This window comes from Homo sapiens, chromosome 4 (genome assembly GCF_000001405.40).
Source record: "Homo sapiens chromosome 4, GRCh38.p14 Primary Assembly".
Lineage (NCBI taxonomy): Eukaryota > Metazoa > Chordata > Mammalia > Primates > Hominidae > Homo > Homo sapiens.
The window spans coordinates 122,697,939-122,718,627 of record NC_000004.12 but is presented as its reverse complement, the minus strand read 5'-3'; the positions used below and the strand labels follow the sequence as shown (position 1 = coordinate 122,718,627).

The window sequence follows — 20,689 nt, the reverse complement described above, 5'->3', positions numbered from 1 at the left end:
ATCCATTAAAATTTCAGCTTGGATCTATTCCCCTATTTTATGAATTTGGAAATGCCGTCAGGGAAAAAGTCCTGTTGAGAGTAGAGTTCACTGCCTGTGCTTCTCCTCTCAAGTATTGTAGCCTGTCCTTTCCAACCCTGCAGGAATTGGGTGATTTCCAGTTTCTTCACACAGTTGTTTTATATATTAGTTTTTATACTTGTTTGCAGCAGGAAGTTAGTTCATCATATCCTGAACTAGAAATGTTAATATTATTTTTAGGAAAATAAATCTGACTGATGACAGTAGATGAATGGGAGAGACTGCTGGCTACAAGGCTAGGTAGGAGGTGATCGCAATCATTTAAACAAGGAATGGTGGGGTTTGGCTAATGAACAGTTTGCCTTTGGTTTTGAAAAGAAAGGTTGGATTAAAATCTTTCATTCCTGGTGTCTTATTTTTATTTACTCTGATGAAGTAGTAATATCAAGTAACAGTTATTGAGTGCTTACTATGTTTTATGCACTGTTCTACCTCCTCTACATGGATTTTCTTACTTAAGCCAAATGCCTATTGGATGCTATTATCATCATTCTGATTTTACAGTTGAGAAAACTGAGATGCATAGGATTTAAACGACTAGCTCAACATCACATGGACAGTAAATTGCTCTTCTGGGCTTTGAAAGCAGGCCTGCTGGCTCCACACTCTATGCTTTTAACCACGATCCTCTACTACCTCTCATTATGCCATGGAATAGGAGTTATCTTTTAAATGGGAGAGGCTGATAGCTCACATTCTCAGGGGGAGAAAAGCAGAAAAGTGGCTCGGTGTGGTGGCTCATGCCTGTAATCCCAGCACTTTGGGAGGCCAAGGTGGGAGGATTGCTTGGAGCCAGGAGTTCAAGACCAGCCTGAGCAGTGAGACCCCCATCTCTGCAAAAATTAAGAAACTAGCTGGGCACGGTGGTGCACAGCTGTGGTCCCAGCTACTCAGGGGGCTGAGGTGGGAGGATTGCCTGAGCCCAGGTGGTCGAGGTTACAGTGAGCCGTGATCACGCCACTGCGCTCCAGCCTGGGCAACAAAGTGAGACTTTGTCTCCAAGAAAAAAGAAACAAAAGCAGAAAAGTGAATTAAATGGTGATTTTTTTTGTGGTTGTTTGGGAAAATGAGTGAAGTAATTCTTAAGGAAAAGTGATAAATCCAGAGAAGTGAAATTAAAGACAAACATAAGCTAAGCACTTAAAAAAAAAGAAAGAATAGATTTAAATCTCTGTAAATTCAGTAGTAAAGAGTTGCGATGTGGCCAAGAGTAAGAAGTCAAGACAAACAGATACTTGGAAGATCAGAGACTGATTTTCTATAGTGATAAAGTTATTATTTGGTATCTTATATGTGGATATTTCCCCTCATAGTTTTTTCTTGTTTTCTTGGTCATGGCTCATTTTAACTTAATTTCTTTTAAAGCAAGTTTAGCTATTTGTTAAATGAATGAAAGAGGGAGTACCATTCTAACCTTGACGAGTTATAATCTCATCCTCATTAAGAGCTCATTCACTTTGGCTTACCCACTGGAATAGGGGTTGGTCCCATACAATGGAGCATGGAGGCCACTCCACTAGAGGGCGTTGAGGTCTTGTCTGTTCGGTGAGTGAGGGTGTGGTTTGATTTATGCTTATTTTGATAGTTTGACATAAATTAGTGAAGGGTTTAAAGAAAGACTAAAGTTAAAGATTTAATTTATCTAGCATAATTTAGGGGAAAATGTAAAGAAATTATATATTCTTCAACTTATTTTCTTGGTAACCACTTATGTTAATGAAAAGTCAGGAGTTTCACCTAAAACCAAATCTGACACTATTTGAAATGTAGCCATTGAATTACCAGGGAAATTATATATATACACACACACGTGTGTGTGTATATACACACATATGTGTATGTATACACACACATACACATATGTGTATATATACACATATGTGTATGTGCATATACACACACGTGTGTATATACATATGTGTATGTGCATATACACACATGTGTGTATACATACATATGTGTATATATACATATGTTTATATATACATATGTGTATATATACACATATGTATATATAAATATAATTTGAAGATATCTTTTACAACTTTTTTTCTAATCCAATTTTGAAGATGTCTGTTGTTTTCCTCAGATGATATGAAATAGTAACTTGATTGTTTTGCATAAAAGTGACTTAAAAAGAGACTCACCAAACTCTAGTCAATGGTTACTTCTGAGGGAAGAGAATGTGATTCTGGGGAGGGTGAAAATGTTTGCTTTTTATTCACTATACTTCTGTGTGATTTGAATTTTTATGAATGTAAATTTCATAATTTAAATAAAAAGAAGTACAAAATTCAATTGTATTTAAAAATGAGGTTAGGAAGCTAATTATAAAAATGGATTTGAACAATAAATCCAAGGGATTTGAACTATAATCTGCCTAAATATGAAAAAATACAGAATCTGTGACATCAATAAGCATTCTATAATACAACATTGAAAAGGAAGTGAGGGTGTTGTTACACTGTATACTTTAGCATCTCTTGGGGTTTCTAATGTAGAGCCACATATAGCCTCTGAGAAAGTCTTCAAAAGTGAAACTTATTGAATTTGGTCTAACCCCAATTATACCCGTTTATTTGACATTGAAACACTTTTTTTCTTCACACTTAACAAAAGAGTTAATAACAGTTGTATAAAAGTCAGTTTGGGAAAAACTGACATAAACAAAAGAACAAACTGTATATAAAAAATTTGACCCAAGTCAAAGTAAATTATGTCCTGGGATAAGATTCTTTATATTAATTTTAAGCGGATGGAAAAAATAGGTGCACTGTATTATATTTTTTCTTTCTGTGTTTTTATTGGAAATGTGTAGGTTTCTTTTACTTCTCTTGGAAGTATATCATGGATAAATAAAAAATGAAACAATATAAAATGATGTAAAAATCTACAAATGCAAGTAGTGATTCCAGGATATCACTTACAAAGCACCCTTGAACTGCTGTGCCCCGAGGAGTGTTTCGTGGTGGAAGATAAGAAATCACAAACGTTCATGTTTTCACTGCTAGCCCAAATGAAAACGCACTCTTCCTGCCAAAGACCAGAGTTAAAACACCCCTTCAACCTACCAGGTAGGGGAATATCAAACAGGCACCCGGTCAGAGAACCACAAAGCATGTTGAAAGTCAAGAACATCCTTAGAAATACTACTTGTCAAAGCAGGATTTTAAGTGAATTTTGGACAATCAGATAAGCAGGAGGCTGAGCTTTTTTTTTTTTTTTTCAAATAGAGATAAGGACTCTGATGGTGAAAGTGATGGATGAGAATGGTTTAGGACATGCTAGAGAATTCACAAAGCCTGGATAATGAAAAAGACAGCAATCTAATTTGAGCAAGTGTAAAGACCATTTTCTTATCTATGCTGGCTAAGCATGTAGTTTGCGTGTGTGTGTGTAAATATTATCTAGTATCATGCCTCCAACTGTGTAGTATGAAATTATGCACACATAAGTTGTGTATTTAGCCATTATTCCTCAGAATAATTTGTCATTCTCCTTCAAGTCTTTATTTATTTTTCATGAACTATAGGTTAAAGAATCTCATCGGGTATCTGGTGTTGGGTGGCCCTAACTAATTAAAATAGCCAAAATTCTGTTTCCTCAACTATGTAAAACATGATAGACATGTATTGTCATGATAAGCATGTACTAAATAATGCTTATTTTTGTTTATACAAGTATGTTTCCAAAAAATTATAAACTATTGTTTTATGTTTTAAATTTTACACGATAGCATGTATAAGCATTCTTTTAAAGCTTGACTTATTTCTTGACACTATATTTTTGAGATTTATTTATATGAGTACCTGTTATTAGAGTTCATTCATTTCAACTGTTGTATGGAATTCTGTTTCTTTACAGGAAGTTAGCTTGTTTATACATATGTGTGTGTGTGTGTATATATTTATATATATTTATATTTATTTGGTAGAGACGGGGTTTCACCATGTTGGCCAGGCTGGTCTTGAACTCCTGACCTCATGTGATGCGCCCGCCTCAGCCTCCCAAAGTGCTGGTATTATAGGCATGAGCCACCACGCCTGGCAGTTTCTGTAATTGTATTATTAGGAACAATGGTATGATGAATATGTATTTTGTATTTTGTCTTCTTGGACACACATAAAAGCTTTTCTAGGATAGCCACCATCTTGGCCTGCTCAGGCTGCAAAATACCATGCAAATACAAATACAAATACCGTAGACTGAGTAGATTAAACAAGCAAAACTTATTTTCTCACAGTTCTGGAGGACGGAAGTCTGAGATCAAGGTACCAAGGATAACAGGGTTCTGGTGAGGCCCCTTTTGCCGCCTTGTAGGTGGCCACACACTGTGTCTTCATGTGGCAGAAAGAGAGAGAGAATGAGATCTCTTTCTTTTTCTCTTCTTAGAAAGACACAGTGCTATTGAATTAGGGCCTCATCCTTATTACTACATTTAACCTTAAATATCTCCTAAAGACCCTGTGTCAACGTATATTGAAGGTTAAAGCTTTAACATGTGAATTTGAGAGGACACAATTCAGTCCATAGCAGCTACTTGGAAGTGAAATTGCTGGGTTGTGTGGAAAGTGCATCTTCAACTTTTCTAGGTATTTCCAAATTATTCCCCAAAGTAGTTGTAAAATTTACATACCCACCAGCAATTGTATACAATTGTATACATGAGATATTTTTACCTGGAAGAACTTAAAAATCCCAAATGAAAAAGGGTATAATCTTTTTAAATTGCAATTTCTCCTTCCCATTGCACTAATATCTGGCAAGTCTTCCAAGCAGTTGTCTAAATATTGGCTTCTGCCAATCAAATCTCATCTTTTACAGCCATGACACCACAAGGAGTGATCTGTTCTCTAATCCCAGCATGAAAAACACTGATCTTACTCAATCCAATAGACTCTCACTAGAGGTCAATGACATAGGATAGAGTTGAGTTGGGGCATAATCCCAAAAGATACAATCCCTATTGCCTTAATTCCAAATGTTGAAATCCTGAAAGATCAAAATACCAAATATGTAATTTCGAAGAAAAACTTATTTATTTAGAGATAGGGTCTTGCTTGTTGCCCAGGCTGGAGTGCAATGGCTCTTCACAGGCACAATCATAGCATATTGCAGCCTTGAACTCCTGGGCTCAAGTAATCCTCCTGCTTCAGCGTCCCAAGTAGCTGGGTGGGACTACAGCATGTGCCACCAAACCCAGGTAGAAAAAATAATTAAAAAAAAAATTAAAAATACATTTATTTACATTTTAAAGGGAATTTATTTGAGAAACATATAAAAACATGACAGAACACATCATTGGCCACTTTACACCATAAAATAGGCAATAATAACATACACATTTTCGCAAGCATAAGCACTCAAGTATTCTAATGATAGCCACATATATATAACAGTTATGAGCAGACAAACCATATTCATTAATAAATAAGTCGAAAAGTGAAATGTATAAACACATATCACTATGATTGGTAACTGCGTGCACCCAGCTTTATAACTGCAGTCATCTGAAATACTATGATGGACAACCTGCATGTTTCAATGAGACCCATCAAAAACCACAGTGAGTCACCACCACATATGCAGTTGCCCAAGTAGCTGACATCTTGAGATATTTTATCTTTCACAAATTCAGATGTACAGAAAGGACATCTTTATTAAGGAAGTTTTGATATTTTCATACACACACACAGTGCTTACACACAAAGTCAACGTTCCGATAACACACTTTCATAGAGTCAAATTTGCAAAAAATGCATAAAACAAATTAGAACTCTACAGAAGTCTTTACACAACTTATACCTCCAGTATTGGAAATGAAGCAAAGATGAGATATGTAGCATAGGAAATTGGCACTATATGTGAAAGGGCAGAAGTCTTATATGATTGAATAATTTGGCAGGGGAGATTTCTGTATTTTTCGTTTGCATTTTCACTTCTATGATTTTTGAAACACTCACTGCATTTGTACTTGAAGAGTGACTGTGGTCTACAAATTTTGTAAGTATGTGCAGTCCATTCGAAAGACTGGTTATTGCTCAACCATTGCAATTAAGTGATTTTCTGCTTTCAAAATGCCAATAGTAATTAGCTTTTAAAGTTTTATCTTTCACTGTTAAGAGGCCTCATATGCTTAGACCATCATAGCCTTTTGTGAGGGAACAGTTTCACAGATCTCTCCCATTATGCTGCAAGTAATAAAGTAAGGAGGAATGACATTTGGCTTCCTTAATATCAAATCTATTTTAGTCAAGGTTCTCCAGAGAGACAGAACCAATAGGATATGTGTATAGATAGAGGAAGGAGCCTTATCAGTAGGATGGGCTCACACAATTATGGAGGCTGAAAAGTTCCACAACAGGCCATCTGCAAGCTGGAGACTTGGCTCAGTCCAAGTCTGAAGTTCACAGAACCAGGAAAGCTGAGGTTGTAACCTAGTTCATGGCTGGAAGCCTCAGCACCTAGGAGACTGCTGGTCAAAGTCCTGAGTCCAAAGACTGGTGAACCTGGAGTTCTGGTGTCCAAGGCAGCAGAAGGTCTACCCCAGCTCTGAGAGAGAGACCAATTTGCCTTATGTGTTTCTTCTCTCTCCTGGCCTTCAGCTGATTGGATGGTGTCCTTCAACATTGATAGCAGATTCCCCCACACCTGGTTAATCCACTCAGACTCACACAATAATCTCCTCTGAAAAAGCCCTTACAGACACATCCAAAATAATGCTTTACCAGGTTTGTAGGCAGTACACAAGTCCACCCTTTGTCATTCATATGCATCTCCTTAAACCACATTTAATTTCCAAATAAAGACAGCAAGGTAATCGTTTTGACTAACTTGATACAACTAACATGATACAACTATCCAGCATGCAATGAAAACACACTAATCCTGTCCCAGAATTCAGCATTCAGGATTTTAATCTTTTGTAGTTGTGATTTTGGGGATTTGGGGACTGCATCTTTCAAGATTATAATTGGCACTGGATAGAACTACTCAGTGGATTCAAACTGGCAGCTGGAATTCTTTCCCAGAAAAGCCAGGTTCCATTTGCTGGGACCAAATGACACAAATGAAGTTTCAAGTCTATTGCAGTGGAGCCCATCAAGCTCCAAATTGTCTGTGATTCCAGTTGTGGAAAGCCTGTGTGTTCTTTGACATCCACAGTGACTTCCTTTTTTTTTTTTTTTCCAATCAGGATGTTTAGTTTTCCTTAAAAATGATTTAAACGGCATCAGATGCCCTCTCTTTCACTCACTCTGCCACCCTCTCTCCTCCAGGTTAGCATTTTGTGTTCTCATTTCTACAGCACTTTCTCATTTCTACAGCACCTTATTTTCCTTCTGCTAAAGTGATTCCTCCTCATGCCTACACAGAGAAGTTTTATTTGCCCCTGAGGTGCTTGTATGTGAATTGAGAAGAATCTGCTTAGAGAAAGAGATGGTTTCGTATGTTTCAATCATGTAGACAGTTTATGAATCAAAAGGGATTTTTCAGACTGAGTTAAACAATCTATTTTTCTTCCTGTATGTGTCACCATTTTTCTGGAAACTCTTACTTATCAGGTACAACTTTCCTTCAGGAGGTTCTCTGACAGCTCAATCATGTTCTATGCTGGATCCCACAGTGAAGCCAGAAAGCTGAAAGTGTTTGCAGCTCTCATTTCCGTGGCAACTGTCTGAAGGACCAAATACGAGATATTGATTCACTGTAGGACCTAGCAGAAGAAGGAACTGAGTGGTGAGGAAAACCCCTTTTAGTCAGAAATTTTTCATTAGGAGGTCAAGACCTTTGAAAAATTAATGGAAAAGTACTGAACAATACCTTTACGTATTAAAAAAAAAAACGCACAAATGCTGTACTGTTCTTGACTAGGGAATTTTACATTTGTGTGTCATAACGAATCCATTTCCCCTTCACTGTCCCCTGCTCCGTCTTCTTTCCATAACTGTCAGTCTATCCATGCCTTTTTCTTTCCACTGTAACACGATACCTCTCTAACCCAGCAGAACTGGAAAAATACTTAACAGCTAAAATGCGCAACTGGATATGAATAATTCCTTACATTTATGGGGCTCTCTGAGCAATGGACCAGTAAATACTGCCCCAGTTGTGCTATGCAGATTCCCTGCATTATCTTGGGAAAAGAAAGTTTCCTGAGTAGGAGTCAACACGGGAAGTTGAATGGCTTTCCAGTTTCTCCTGCCTTAGATCTTTATTATTTAATTTCAAAGACTGAATTTTTAGAGCATTTCTTTCATAGTCAAATACAATTGTAATATGCATTGGAAGGTCAAATAAGATTTTTTTGGATAACCTACCATCGCCTTTGGCATGAAAAATCAAGAAGTCACTAAAATGTCCCCCACTCTGAGGGCAGAGGGATGATGTGCCTACGCCGCAGTTAGGCAGTATACATAATATCCATGAAAAGATTTAGGTTTAAGGTTGTTGCAGCCTTCAGAGGAAAACTGATAAAAACTTGAGCACTTTTATATATCAAGCTGTTTGGCTTTTTTCAGCCACATCTCAATTTCTATTTCATAGCAGCTGTGCTATGTAAAAAGGATCTGAGAGTTTTGAAAAGAATGTATTGCCAGGCACAGTACCTCATGCCTGCAATCCCAGCACTTTGGGAGGCTGAGAGGGGTGGATCAGTTGAGGTTAGGAGTTCGAGACCAGCCTGGCCAACGTGGTGAAATCCCGTCTCTACTAAAAATACAAAAAATTAGCCAGGTGTGGTGGCATACGCCTGTAATCCCAGCTACTCGGGAGGCTGAGGCAGGAGAATAGCTTGAACCCAGGAAGTGGAGGTTGCAGTGAGCCAAGGTCACGCCACTGCAACCCAGCCTAGGCAACAGAGCAAGACTCTGTTGCAAAAAAAGAAAAGAAAAGAAAGAATATATATATATGCACAAATGTAATTGCAAAAATCCATCATTTTTATAGCTAGCAATTAAATTGAGACACTTTTTATTATGATCATTATTAAGACATTTCTTTCAAAGTCACTGAGTAACCTATTAGAATCCATGTCATCATAAACTTCTTTATTAGGGGATCAGAGTGAGACAGAGAATTAAGGTAGTTATCCAGCAAGAGTGAAACCCCTAATTTGTATTATTGCAACATAGTTGTCCTGTAGTCTATGTTTTTAGCTCCCATCTATCATTTCTTAGTGTTCATTTATCAAGTTTCTTTATTTCTCATAACTTCTAATAATTTTTTAGAAACACTGAGTAAACTCTGCCATTATAAGTCCTGAAGGGAATTTCCTACATAAATGGACCAAAATCACAAAACCCTGTAAGCAGTTAGGCAAAATTCTTCCTCAAAGTTATGTCAATCAAGATGTTAACATAAAGATCTACCTTTCTTTAGCGCTCAGACACTAAAAAGGAATTGTATGTTTGTAATATCGTCCCTATGTTACGTTTTTGTTGATTATTATATGTATATTAGTATATATATATACACACACACACGTCTACACAGACACTCATAAAACAAATCGTTTGCATCTTCAGTTTCTTGGTGTTGTTTTGCTTTCTTAGGCACATGCTTTTTTCATCCTTGTAACCTCAAAGGACAAAGTATTTTACATGCTTTATCATTGTTCGTTAATACCGTTGATAGTTATAACAATGAGCCTTAGTTCAATATTAACATATTTATTAATTGACAGCTTTTTGACTTGCTGTATGATTTTTAAAAATTATTATTAATATCATTTTTAATGGACAAATTATAATTTTATACATGTACGGGGCACAATGTGATGTTTTGTTATACAGCTTGTATAGAAGGTGGCAATGATTAAATCAAGCTAATTAACATATCCATCACCTTGATTACCTATCATTTTTTATGATGAGATATTTGAAATTTACTGTTAGTGACAGTTTTTTTATATTTATAATACTACATCCCAAATTTTAGAAGACATTTAAAAAAATTTTACTATGATTTATAAATTACTACTACTGTTATGACTTTTGCTATGATTTCTAAAAGAAATATACCATATATGTCAGGTGAAAGTTGAGCAGTGCTAGGGCCAGGGTGTTATCCCCATCTCCTCCAAAGCTTAAGAGGGTGGGCATCTCGAAAGTGTGTATGCTGGTGTCCAGGGACTCTAGGGGATTTTGGCCTGTACCTGGGACCCTCCTTCCTGGCCTCCTAACAGCTGGTAGCTCTCTCATAGGAGAGCTCATGAAGTGGCCAAAAGTAGTGATCAGGGTCAGACACATCCCCATTTCTGTAATTCAAAGAAAGGGGTATCTTGCTGAGGCAGGTGGATCACTTGAGCCCAGGAGTTCAAGACAGCTTGGGCAATATGGTGAAATGCTGTCTCTACTAAAAATAGAAAAATTAGCCAGGTATGGTGGCCTGTGCCTGTGGTCCCAGCTACTCGGGAGGCTGATGTGGGAGGATCACTTGAGCCAGAGAGGTCAAGGCTTCAGTAAGCCATGATTGCCCCGCTGTACTCCAGCCTGGGCAAAAGAGCAGGACCTTGTAAACAAAAAAAAAAAAGGAAAGAAAAAAAAGAGAGAAAGAGAGAAAAGAAAGAAAGAAAGGAAGGAAGGAAGGAAGGAAGGAAGGAAGGGAAAGGAGTGTCTTGATGTGTTTTAAAGAGAATGTAACTGTGGCAGGGGCAGTGATGTATCTGGCCTTTGGGTACGTGGAGCTAAGATCAAATTCTCCTAGTGTTTTCCCCTTTCCTCTCTTGCCCCTGCTTCTCTCAGAACACTTATGCTCTCCCACAGCAGAGCAGGGGAACTTCTTCCACACAGGAGAAGTCGGCCTTCTACTGCACCAGAGCCTCCCATCTCTACCTACCTCTAAGAAGAGCCAGCACCTGTGCAACTGGCCTGGCTAGGGGTGGAGGCTTCCATTGGCCCAGAGTGAGTGGCAGTTAGCCCTGAGCCACTCAACAACGTGTAAGAGCATGCATTTCTGAGAGAATATTAAAAGTGGTTTTGGTAGTAGATACACAGAATTGATTCACGTGGTGGTCTCAATTTGTAAGCCCATGGTTCAAGCCACTATTATCTGAAGGTGAAGTCTTAAAAAGTATTTGAACTATATGTAAGATGTGATATATAGATCTATATTCATTTTTAAGTACCAGTTATATTAAAGGAAGGCTGGAAAATCTCAAAGTTTAAAAAATTTTATTAAATTTTTATAGTTAAGATACATGGTTTCAATGATGTATTTTGCTGACTATAAAATTTGTGGGGAAACAAATGATAATTTACATGATCTCTTTTAGGATGTGAGACATAGACTGTGGAGGGAAATTGCTTTCAGAATTGAAAAAGAAAATTCTAGTGATAAACAGGGAGACTACATGTCTATATTGAATACTTTGGTTTTTAAAACTGTGAGATAAGCCACATGAGGATTGCTTGAGCCCATGAGTTCGAGGACAGCTTGGACAACATAGCAAGGCCCCATCTCTCTCTCTCTGAAAAAAAAAAAAAAAAAAAAAAGAGAGAGAGAGAGAGACAAAATGAATACAGTTATAAAGTTTTAACTGAGGAAAAAAGTTAGTAAAATTGATGTTACTGAACAACCTCAGAATTATCTCAGAAAGGTAATGTTGAGAGTTTATATCAGAATAAATTTATATCCCAATGTTAGAGAAAAGTTTAATCTCTGAGCTCTGAACTGAATAAGTTAATGCACGTTTATGGAATTTTCAAAGAAATGGAACATGCACATGGTTTCTACTGCCTTAGTTTCTTCAAAATCAACTTTTCTTCTAACAAAACATGACCATTACTTTTCCATGAAAGAACTAGAGATTCTTCCAAAAGATAAGTCATTGCGAAATGAGAGTCTTACCTTGAAGACATGAAAGAAGGTTGCATTCAAGGTGTATCCAGTCTTCCACAGTTGGAACATAGGAAAAATTTTTCCCAAAGAAATCATGAACAGAAGAGGAATGAGTCTTAGGAATTTTTTTTTCTTTTCTGAGATGGGGTCTTGCCATGTTACTCAGGCTGGTCTTGCAATCCCGGGCTCAAGGAGTCCTCTTGCCTCAGCCTCCCAAGAAGAGTCTTAGGAATTCTAAATGCTGGTTACCCCTGATCCCTCCAGCATTCAAACTGATGCTGCATCCAGCAAAAGATCACCAGCCAAATGAGAGACATTAAGCATTGATTTATTAAAAATCTGCACAACTCCCTGAATAAAGGATTTTCAGTATTTTGAGATGGAGAATTCGTCTTAGGCCTGAGACTACAGTAGAATTTTCTTTGCAAATATGAATCATGGGAACCATAGGCTCAGGTATGTCTGGGAAGGAAGGAGAGGGAGGGAGGGTGGAAGAGAGAGAGAAAGAGACAGAGAGAGACAGAGAGAGAGAAAGTGCAGAGCAGACTCCAAGTCCATGAAGACAAACGTTGTGTGGGAGGACACAGACCTGAAAGATAGTGGCAGGTCCTCACAGCCTTTCAATACAGCAATTCTGCCCACTTAGGAAAGGAGGCCCAATAAAATTTAATCAACTAGCCCTCCTCTTCCTCTGAAAAGGGCAAACAAGGAAGAGAAAGCATAAAGGGAGAAGGAAATCCAAGCAATGAGGAAGAAGTCGTCTCCCAACTGACTACTGATATCAGTCAGTTATATTTTGGGGTTAAATGGGTTTTTGTTGTTTGCCTGGAAACATTATAATATTGTTTCTATGGGCAAGAGTGTTCTGAGTTCTAAATAAATGACTCATAAATGAAGTTTTGGACTGCAACATATCAGGACAATTGAGCTTATTTTTCACATTAACTGTACATGCCCCTCATGTACTATGATGATATGTAGGACTGGGCTTTGTCAGCAATGACTGGATGGTCCTCTCAGAGTTCTACAAAATGAGAGTGTAGATACATTTTCTTCTTAGGCTATGCCAGGAAACACACACATTTCAGCAAATAATACAAACTAGGATTAATTTAATCACTTGCTAATTTAGCAAATGCAGTCCAAGGGGAAATTATTTTAGAAATAATAGCATTTTTTTCTGTTTTAACTTCTACCACACTTATTCACTGAACTAGATAAATGATTTTATCAGTTAGCTTTAGAAATTTTTTGTTTTGTTTTTGGTAGAGGTAGGGTTTTGCTGTGTTGCCAAGGCTGGTCTGAAACTCCTAGGCTCAAATAATCCTCCCACCTTGGCCTCCCAAAGTGCTAGGATTACACGCATGAGCCACCGCACCTGGCCTCAATTAGCTTTTGGTACCTTAAGCCCTACCCCAAAATTCAGTGGCTTAAAATAAAAACTATTTATATGACTCACGTGTCTGAGGGCTGACTGATTGAGGCTGAGCTATCTGGGCAGCACCCTTTCAAGTTATGTATCCAGGTAGTCTTGGCTGCTCACAATGATTTGGGCTCAGGTTGGCTTCCAATGTGCTCATTCTTGTGCTTAGGCTGAGGGGACAGAATGTTCGCAGAAGTTCTTCTTATGGTGAGAGCAGATGTGCAAGAGGGCATGAAGCAAATTCAAGGCATCTTAAGGCCTAAGCTCATCATGGTACTTTGTCATTTCCACTTCCTTCAGTTGCCCAAACCAAGTCATATGGCTGAACCCAAAGTTAAGGTGTGAAGAAATATATTCTGCTTTGTTAGTGGGAAGAATTGCAAGGTTCACTGAAATGGCTGTGGACACAGGAAGGGGCTGACTTGATGGGAAAGTTCCTGGCTGGCTTGGAATTGAAGTCAATTATGCAATCTACCACAATGATTATGAGCCCAATGGACTCAAATTAGTTCTACCTGGAGAGTCAGGTGTCCATGTTTGGGGATAAGGGCAAAGAAACAGGGCAAGCTCTTTGTAACTGAACCCAGCTTTGGCTGATCAAAAGCCAAACATGAGAGAGAAGAATTAGTGGCAGAAAAAGCAGGCTTATTCATAAAGCCAGCAAAACGGAGAAAATGGTGAACTAGCTTAGAACTTAACTTCTAAAGTACCGTCTTATATTTTCCTGCCTGGCAAGAGGGTTTTTATGGGAGGCGAATATGAGGAAGAAAAGGTGGTTTGGATCAAGAGATGATGATGATTGCAGGCATCTGGGCGCCAGCTAGGGTCCAAGGAAGTTGGGATCTTCTTTGTCCTTGGTCAGGTCACAGTGATCCTGTAAGTCTTTAACAAAACGTAGCCAATTGTTTATATACTTTTCCTTTAATCCCAGAGTTAGTTTTTAAAACTGCATGATTATTGTTTTTGCATTTTATCTCAGTGCTCTAAAATTATCCTAGTTTACATGTAAGAATGGGGAAGCCCCTTAAAAATGGAGTTAGTTGTGTTAGTTCTTTTGCTGTTTTACTGTTACCTTTTGAGTGGCATGCTTTGCAAAGGCACAGTGCTTAACTCTGCCATTTAAAGATTCAAGACCTGGCCAGGCATGGTGACTCACACGTGTAATCCCAGCACTTTGGTATGCTGAGGCAGGAGCATCACTTGAGCCCAAAAGTTAATGACCAGCCTGGGCAACACAGTGGGATACCGTCTCTACAAAAACAATTAAGAATTTTCTGGGTGTGGTGATGCAAGCCTGTGGTCCCAGCTGTTCGAGAGGCTGAGGCAGGAAAAGGGCTTCAGCCCAGGAGTTTGAGGTTGCAATGAGCTATCATTGCACCCCACTCTCCAACCTGGGCAACAGAGTATGACTCTGTCTCAATAAATAAATGAATAAATTAATTAATACATGCATAAATAAATTAATTAATTAAAAATAAAAGACTCAAGATTTTCCTGAATTTGAATTTTAAAAGTTTGATCCACTAGTCCTGCAGTGGTTGCTGCATCCCTATTTCTTCATCTCAGAGCTGTGGCAAGTAGAGCTAGCTAGGAACTTTCCTATTAAGTCAGGTTAATGGGTAGTGGATGCCCAACAGAGACAGAAGCACCAAGGGAGGTACTATGGGAAGCATGTGCACCTTCTCACCAGCTTTGAAAAATTCCAATTAATTGGGGAAGTCTATTTTTAATTTTTATTTTTTAAGAGATGGGATCTCACTCTGTTGCCCAGGCTGGAGTGCAGTGGCACCATCATAGCTCACTCTAACGTCAAACTTCTGGGATCAAGTGATCCTCCTGCCCCAGCCTCCTGAGAAGCTGGGACTACAGCTATTCACCACTACCCTTGGCTTGGAAAGTCTTAAGAAGGGCCATGAAGTGCTGGCGATATACCTCTGGCTCCCTACCTAATCAGGATTACGAGGCAGAGAGAGAGAGACTGCAGGGCAATCCAAGTCCATGAAGACAAACATTGTGTGGGAGGACACAGACCTGAAAGATAGTGGCAGGTCCTCATAGCCTTTCAATACAGCAATTCTGCCCACTTAGGAAAGGAGACCCAATAAACTTTAACCAACCAGCCCCTCCTCTTCCTCTGGAAACAGCAAACAAGGAAGAGAGAGGGAGCTGGCGATATGCCTCTGGCTCCCTACCTAATCAGGATTGCAAGAGGAGAGAATGATAAGTAACTGGTTTGGTGACTATGCTTGCTTTTATTGGGATGGTATAAATATAAAAGTTTTATACTTTACTATAACAATTGTGGAACAAAATTTTTACAAATTTTTAGCCCGTTTTGGTTATTAAAACATTCTAATTCTCCTATATAATATTCAGTCCTGTCCTCAAACTCATTGAAAGTTTGTCTTCTTCTTCCTCTAACTCAGGGTAGTTCTGCCTCAAAAGATCTGTTCTGTATCCATTTTTCTCCTCCTCTTTTCCTAATTTCAAGTGGGGATGAGGGAGGAAGGGCAGACTTACAGACCTCTTCTTGGTTGGCCATGATGCATTTCTATTCAATGCAGTCAACATCCTGATGAGGAGGTGCTAACATCCTTTGCGAATAAAGGGTTTATTTGGGTGAAGATTCCTTAGGCACTGGCTCTCCTTTGCCAGGCTTGGCCTTCTATTCCAGGCAGGCCCAGTTGATGGCATTTAGCCTGCAATGCATGTGCCTCTTAGCCAGCATCCTCTTTTCCAATATACACATAGCCTACCCTGCAGACATTGTCCAAGACTAGCCCTAATTCTCATTTTTCAGCAAAGTGTTAGGTCAGCAGGCACATATAGGATCCATCTTCTAATAGAGACTGACAAATTAAGAACAGAGTGGTCCTTGGACCTCACCATGCTCTCTCTCTCCAGATCTCTTTGCTCCTATTCCAGTTACATGGGGGTTAAGCAACATGTCCACTCTTGAAGCAAATCCCCATTATGATGATAAAAATGCTGGTCTCCAGTCTGGATAACAGAGCAAGACTGCATCTCTACTAAAAAATTTGAACAACTTAGCTGGTGGCATGTGCCTGTAGTTCCAGCTACTGTGGGTGCTGAGGCAGGAGGATCGCCTGAGCTCAGAAGTTCAAGGCTGCAGTGAGCTGTTATTATGCAACTGCACTCTAGCCTGGGTGACAGAGCAAGACCCTGTCTTAAAAAAAATATATTGTTTCCTCTTCTTGTAGGCACCTGGATCTTTAGAAGAAATTCTGGTTGCTTTTTTTTCTCCCTTTCCATGAGCTTTGGGGAGAGGAAAGCTATACCTCTTTTCCTTTCAGTCCTTTCAGCGGACAGGAAGCAGAGATGGGAGAAGCTTGGGATTAGTGGCAGGAGCAATCATGCTGCTTGAAGCCCCAGGAGAATGTGATAAGCTCCAGCTTCTGGCAGATCTCTGATTTTAAAATGTGGAGGTACTCACTGGATTTTTACTTTAGTTTGGGGTCCTAGTTGCAGTTCAGGAACAACAGGAAAGGTCTTATGATGTGTCCTATCTGCTTTGGAACCAGGCTTATCTTGGTTCAAAACTGGGCTCTGCTACTTACTATTGAGTCTCATTCTCTTCATCTATAAAGTGGTGTCACTAGTGCCTACTTCTCAGGGTTATTTCAATGATAGAATAAATGAATAACTGTCACTTGACTTCCACATTAGAGGTATTCATCACTATTAATGAAAAATCACTATCTTCTCTCACCACCTCATCCTCCATGTCCACTTCCTGCTCCTTGCTTACCCCACATTTGTGCATGTCTAGATCTATGCAGACAGACATAAATGTGTACATGTGCATGTATAAAACGTAGGTCTTTTGACATTTTTCTCCTTGAATCCGTAAGTTATGTTATAGGTGCAATAAAAATATATTTGGAATGTAAATCTTCAACACTCAGTCTCAATGCTCCTAAATTCTTCTATGATTCATCACGTCATAATTATCGGGTATGGACTCGCTATTTCCTGCAGCACACTGTGTAGGTGTTATTATTACCAGAAATCCTCCATAATGCTACCCAGTCATTTCAGCCTCTGTTTCTACAGAAATGACTAGGATGAAAGAAAAGGAAGATTAAAACAAAGAAATGTGATTGTTTTCATGTTTTACCATCAAGAATATCCTTTTAGTTAAAATGAGATTATTTAAATGAGAATAAACAAATTTAAATAAAAAAGTTTTGATGTTGATTTCTAAACTGAGTAGGGTTTTACCTGACAAAATCTACAAAGCAGAAGATTTATCCTCAAAATATATCAGCCACACAGCATCACTACTCATGCTTTTATGCCTTTAACTATGGTAGGTTTTCTAAAAGCTTAGTAGATCAAGAGCTTTTTAGGTTACATGGGCTCTATGTTTAGAGAAAGGAAGAAGTAGTTCAATCATTCAACAAACATTTATTAAGCATCAAATTACATAACTTATAAGCTTCTGACCCTCTTCTCCACTGCTGTAAAGTTTAGAGCTTAGAGTCTAATAGAGGAGAAATAAACAACAACAAAATCACACTTCCATCTCCTTCCATCCTCCTTCATTACCTAACATGGGCTCCACCAGCTCCAACACCAATTTGGACATCCTCAACTGTGAAGCAGTTTTACTGCGCACCGGTTACCAACTTGTCTGAGCCCAGTGAGGCAGAGCACCCACACACACAACGAGTTATGTGAAGAGGGTTTATTACTCACCAACAGGCAGCAAAGGACAACAGAATCCGGATTCACTGTGAGCTGTTCCCTCAAGGCCCAAGAAAGCTGGCCAGGATGGACGGAACATGGACTGTGCTCCCTTACTTGCAACGCAGGAAAGGGACTCTGAAAGGCAGCCTGCCCCAGGTGATATACTTCAGGGTCACATGACACACTGGGCTGAAGTGTGGAGGACATCCTGTGCTGTCCGTGGGAAGGCCTGGAACAGAGCCCAGGCTGTTCCGGCCAGCTCCTCCCTTATCTCAGGATGGTGCATTCCCAGCACATTCTGCAGTTATTATTGAGAACTGCAAGTGAAAAAGGGAGAGAACTGGGCCAGTCCAAGGCTGCCTAGAGAACTGTCCTGCACCAACACTACTATGACCACCTCAATTATCCCAAAGCAGTCTCAGGAAGATCTGCTATATTTGCCCTGCAGATCAAAGCCTATAAGAATTAGAGAAATCTTGATTAACTGCATCCTAAATTTTACCATCTGCAAAGTCTACATAATATTTTCCTGGTTTGTCATATTAACCAAGTTACCAAGTGTCTTCCTTAGGTAGCAGTAGGTAAACAAATACACCTGGAATGCCTGCTCTCAGGCTCTGCTTCCATTGACACTTGTGTGGGCACACACACAGACCCTAAGAGTAACTGGAAATTAAGTAGGATCTTGGTTTGATTTTATTTTTACACAGAGAAAGCATAAGGAATGCATTCATAGTTATGGCTGATTTCAACTAGTACAAATGACTACAATAGTTCTAACATAACAACAAAAGATTCCACGAGCCTTTATGCACACAAAAAGACAATGGGCAAGGAATCGGAGTCAGCATGTTGGAACTGAAAGGGTCTCAAAAATCACTACTCCAAATCTTTCATTTTACTAATAAGGAAATTTAATCCTTTATATCAGGAAAAATTGTGAAAGAATGGAAAAAAAGTAAAGATCACTGGACATCCTTTCTAGCACACCTTCCAGGTCATCTGGTTCTACAGGGGGTCAGAGACTTCAGTCTTTTAACAATTTTATAACTCAGTAATGAAAATGATTTTTCCTCAAAGAAAAGCCAAGGAATATTTTCATGTAGAATAAAACTGGCTATGGCTCTGTGGATATTGACAGTTTTCTATCTGTTTGCAAATTCATTTCAGCATCCCCAATAGCCGATTAATGTGTACTTTTGAGCTGGTTATATCTTCTTACTGGTTTCTTCATTAATGAGTTAAATAATATATTTGATATGTGCTTTTTTTCTTCTTTTTTTTTTCTTTTGAGACAGAGTCTCGCTCTGTTGCCAGGCTGGAGTGCCGTAGCACTATCTCGGCTCACTGCAACCTCCACCTCCCGGCTCAAGCGATTCTCTTGCCTCAGCCCCCTGAGTAGCTGAGATTACAGGTGCGCACCACCACGCCCAGCTAATTTTTGTATTTTCATTAGAGACAGGGTTTCACCATGTTGGTCAGGCTGGTCTCGAACTCCTCACCTCGTGATCTGCCCGCCTCAGCCTCTCAAAGTGCTGGGATTACAGGCGTGAGATATGTGCTTATTTTATATTTGTATGGGAGTCATGACTTTACTTTTTAAAAAAATCCTTTAACATCTACCTGCAACATCTGATTGGAATACTAAATGAAGGCTATCAGTTATTTTTAGCAATGATCAAACTAGGTTTGATCATTAGAAATCTTAGAAATAGATTTACTATTTCTAAGTGCTTTACATATATTTTCTTATTTTAGTCTCATAGTCACACCATGAAGTATATATTATTAGTCTTAATTTTATAGATTAGGAGATTGAGGCTTGGGTGAAATAAGTGGTTTGACCACAGCTGGACGTGATAGAGCCAGAATTTGAACCTAGATTGGTCAGACGCCAAAGCCGCTACTCCTAAGTATGAGGCCACAGGAAATTCCTGCTTTGCTTTGGGCCTCATTTTGTCTACCTATAAAATGGATTTTTAAATATCTGTTTACCTCCAGAATACAATAAAGAGATTGCCCTTTGTTATGGACCAGTTGAGTCCCTCCAAAATTTATATGTTGAAGTCCTAACCCACAGAACTCGAAAATGTGACTGTATGTGGAGATAAGGTCTTTAAAGAAGTAATTCAGGGCCGGGCTTGGTGGCTGACACCTGTAATCCCAGCATTTTGGGAGGCCAAGGCAGGCGGATCACGAGGTTAGGAGATCGAGACTAGCTTGGCCAACATGCTGAAACCCTGTCTCTACTAAAAATACAAAAATTAGCCAGGTGTGGTAGTGCACACCTGTAATCCTAGCTACTCACGAGGCTGAGGCAGGAGAACTGCTTGAACCTGGGAGGCGGAGGTTGCTGTGAGCTGACATTGTGCCACTGCACTCCAGCCTGGGCAACAGAGAGACTCTGTCTCAGAAAAAAAAAAAAGAAAAAGAAGCAATTCAGTTAAAATGAGGTCATAAGAGTGGGCCCTAATCCAACACGATGGGTGTTCTTATAAGAGGAAAAAATTAAGAAACAGTCACATACAAAGAGAAGACCATTTGAAGACACAGTAAGAAGGCAGCCATCTGCAAGCCAAGGAAAGATGACTTAAAAAGAACCAAACTTGCTGACACCTTATCTCCAACTTCCAGCCT

At 39.1% G+C, this 20,689-nt stretch overlaps 1 protein-coding gene across 3 annotated transcripts in view, besides 1 other annotated feature; it reads right to left on the bottom strand.

The window, feature by feature from the left end:
• The window catches only part of BBS12 (Bardet-Biedl syndrome 12), a 44,498-nt gene extending 26,312 nt beyond the window's left edge, over positions 1 to 18,186 (bottom strand). Inside the window, exons 1-3 of one of the 3 annotated variants that reach the window (XR_007096379.1) lie at positions 18,062 to 18,186; positions 11,929 to 14,224; positions 5,325 to 9,658 (exon numbers count right to left, since the gene is read on the bottom strand). The gene's annotated coding sequence lies outside the window, so the exon portion shown is untranslated. Of the gene's footprint in view, positions 1 to 5,324; positions 14,225 to 18,061 lie in introns of those variants that run through there. The other 2 variants (XR_007096378.1, XM_011531680.3) reach the window with 2 other exon arrangements.
• Positions 2,960 to 3,254: an enhancer, noted in NCBI's record as "tiled region #12847; K562 Activating DNase matched - State 8:EnhW". NCBI's record gives its function as "activates a minimal TATA promoter and a strong SV40 promoter by Sharpr-MPRA in K562 cells {active_cell/tissue: K562}" and the evidence as "EXISTENCE:reporter gene assay evidence [ECO:0000049][PMID:27701403]".